Source organism: Homo sapiens, chromosome 9 (assembly GCF_000001405.40).
Source record: "Homo sapiens chromosome 9, GRCh38.p14 Primary Assembly".
In the NCBI taxonomy this organism is placed as follows: domain Eukaryota; kingdom Metazoa; phylum Chordata; class Mammalia; order Primates; family Hominidae; genus Homo; species Homo sapiens.
The window spans coordinates 80,201,496-80,203,466 of record NC_000009.12 but is presented as its reverse complement, the minus strand read 5'-3'; positions in this window follow the sequence as shown (position 1 = coordinate 80,203,466).

Below are 1,971 nucleotides of genomic sequence, written 5' to 3'. Positions count from 1 at the left end.
AGAAGTCCAAGATGAAGGGGCCAGCATTTGGTGACAGCCTTTTTGTTGCCCTATCCCATGGCAGAAGGCAGAAAACCAAGAAGGGGTGAAAGAAAGAGAGGGAGAGCAAAAAGGGGTGAACCCACATCCACGATAATATTAATCCATTTATGAGGATGGAGCCCTAATGATCTAAACACCATTTCTTAAAGGTCCCACTTCCCAATGCCTTCACAATAGCAATTAAATTTCAACATGAGTTTTGGAGAAGACAAACATTCAAACCATAGCATACCAGGAGTATTAAAATTCTAAATCTTTAGGCACTCAGTAAATTAGATTCAACATATATAAAGCAAATATTTACAAAACTGAAACAAAAAAACAAACAAATCAACAATCTTAATAGAATTTATTACATTTCTCTCAATAACTGATAGAACAGAAAAAATATCAGTTAATATATGAAAGACTTTAAATTTAAAATGGATCTAATTACATATGTAAAACTGTGCAGACAATCCAGATACAACACACATTTTTTGCAAGTGCACATAAACCATTACCAACTTTAAATTATGTCATTTCAGAACTTGTGTAAACCTATTTTGATTGAAATCATTCACAGTATATAATCTGACCAGAGTAAATTTAGGACAAAAATTAACAATTCAAATATACTAGGAAATCCTCACATTCTTGGAAATTAAGTGATAAACATCTATAAAAACAAATAACAGAAAAACCACCTGAGTCAAAGATAAAATAACAACAGAAATAACAAAAAGTTTTAAACCAAATGATAGTAACGACAGAACCTATCACAATTTGTAAATTGAAGTAAGACCTACATTAAAATAGGACGTAGAGTCTTAAATGCACTTGGAAAAAGATGATAAACTTCAAATCTGTGTTCTAATTTTCTAGCTAAAGCAGGCAGAAAAAGAACATTAAATCAAACCCAAAGAAAGCCATAAAAAGCCTATTAGAAAATCTGTCTTTTTTTTTTTTTGTCTGAGACGGAGTCTCGCCCTGTCACCCAGGCTGGAGTGCAGTGGCGCGAACTCGGCTCCCTGCAAGCTCCGCCTCCTGGGTTCACACCATTCTCCTTCTCAGCCTCCCGCGTAGCTGGTTCTATAGGCGCCCGTCACCACGCCTGGTTAATTTTTTGTATTTTTTAGTAGAGACGGGGTTTCACCATGTTAGCCAGGATGGTCTCAATCTCCTGACCTCGTGATCCGCCCGCCTCGGCCTCCCAAAGTGCTGGGATTACAGGCGTGAGCCACCGCGCCCGGCCCAGGTTTTTAATCTATGAAAATCTATGAAACAATGATTTTCAGATGCTGACCAACAGGCTGCACGATACTCTCATCTCAGAGGCGAGAGAATAAACCAAGAGAGCTCTATGACTGCACTAGTTTACTTCTTGGGGTCGGTTTCCAAACTGCTGTGTAGGAAGAGGAAATACAAACAAAGCCTGAGAGAATTGTGGACTTGAAGAGATAGAGATCTTATCTCAGGGAAGGCAAAGGAGCTGGAATTTGTGGGCTCAACTACTGGAAAGGAGGGTTCTGAACTGACAAAGAGCTCTGAAGATGTGTAGTAAGGATGTCTTGAGTGTGTAATTGAAGATTTACCTGCACATGTGTGAGATGAAACTACCGAAGGTAGAAAAAGAATCATTTTGAGTAAGCAGAACAATCCCTACACATCACACAGAGGTAGGGACAGTTGGTGTATACCCAACCAGACTAGAAAGACCTTGTAACATACAGAGTATCAAATAGAACCCACAAAAGAAATGATGTGGCCATATACTAAAGAGTGTTCTATCATTCACTCTAAAAAGTTTAAAAGCAAGCCTTGAATGATTGAACTTTAATTGCATTCCTTTAAAAGATGTTGGATAGTATATCTTTTAAAGGAATATAATCAAAGCCAACAACCAACAACATAACATTTTCATTGTCCAATCTAAAATTTTTTAAAGTC